The 1,128-nt window shown below is 46.2% G+C and overlaps 1 annotated feature.

Annotated features, from left to right (window-relative positions):
- Positions 381–581: a silencer, noted in NCBI's record as "peak2437 fragment used in MPRA reporter construct". NCBI's record gives its function as "represses an SCP1 promoter by STARR-seq MPRAs in K562 erythroleukemia cells {active_cell/tissue: K562}" and the evidence as "EXISTENCE:reporter gene assay evidence [ECO:0000049][PMID:32103011]".

Here is a 1,128-nt window from a genome sequence, read left to right as displayed (position 1 = left end):
GTGTCAGATTCTGAGCCAAAACAAGAAGTTACGTACAATCATAAATGTATGCAGCATTGCTACTTAACTAGAAATATGCATCAGGAGAGTCAACAAAATAGATGTGGACTGATAGACTTGCGTATAGAAGAAAAGGCTTCACTCTGAAGCACTTCAACCTGTAACCATCTGGGAAATGCAATGGAAGGAAAAGTGGAGGGATTTCAGTATTTGAAACGTCCAAGGGACAATGTTGCTGGGCTTTTCTTACCTTACCCGCTGCCAGGTCTCAATTATGTTTAATTCCATTTGTTCTGGCCTTGCTTATTTCTTAAGAGCAAGTGATACATACATGTAATTTTTTCCTTGAGGGTAGGCTGCTCAAAGAACAAGCAGCAATTCATGCAAAAGCAACCCCATTGAAAGCACATATTTCAGGGAAGGACACTTAACCACAGCCCCAGTGCTGTGATTTGTAAACCAACGTGTTGCTTCCGGATGCGTCCAACAGAGTGAGAGTCAGATCCTGGCTTTGCCTTTGAGTCACAAGTTTATCAGAGCCTGCCTGAGGTCATTACTCCTGAGGTGACTGTCTTGTAACTAAGGAGATGCTACAGGCAAGTGGAGCCTGTCGTGTTCCATCTCCTCTCTGGGCCTCAGCCTGTGTCTGCAGGTGTTTCTCTCTATTGAATCTCCCTGGGGAATCCTTGGCTTCACAGCAAAAGCCGGCTGAAGTGAAAGTGATTTGATTTGGATCCTATTACAGGCACTTTACCTCTTCTATTTCCATGATAATAGCAGATTGGAGTCGATTATTGTACTGGGAGGGGAGTTAATGTGATGTCGAGAAACATTGGGAAGACTGGCACAAGGAGAGAGGGATAGATAAAAAGTTTAGCCCAGATTGAAATGGGTGGCACAGGCCAGTGCAGCCACCAGTTAAGCATCCACCTAGAGTCGTTGTGGTGTTCTGCAGAGGGTCAGGATCATTTCCCTTACTGGTGCTGGTGAAGGGATAGAGGGTATAGCGGCTACTTGGTTTAATTGAACCAAGCCTTCGTGCCCTCCTAGTCCTTTTGCCCTGTCCTCTGCCGCTTTCCCTAGGCTATGCTGCCTCTCTGTTAGCCCCAGGGTTGCAGGACCCTCACG

The sequence above is a fragment of the Homo sapiens genome, chromosome 15 (genome assembly GCF_000001405.40).
Source record: "Homo sapiens chromosome 15, GRCh38.p14 Primary Assembly".
Taxonomy (NCBI): Eukaryota; Metazoa; Chordata; class Mammalia; order Primates; family Hominidae; genus Homo; species Homo sapiens.
Note: the sequence above shows the minus strand (reverse complement) of the source record. Positions and strands in the feature narration are given on the sequence as shown.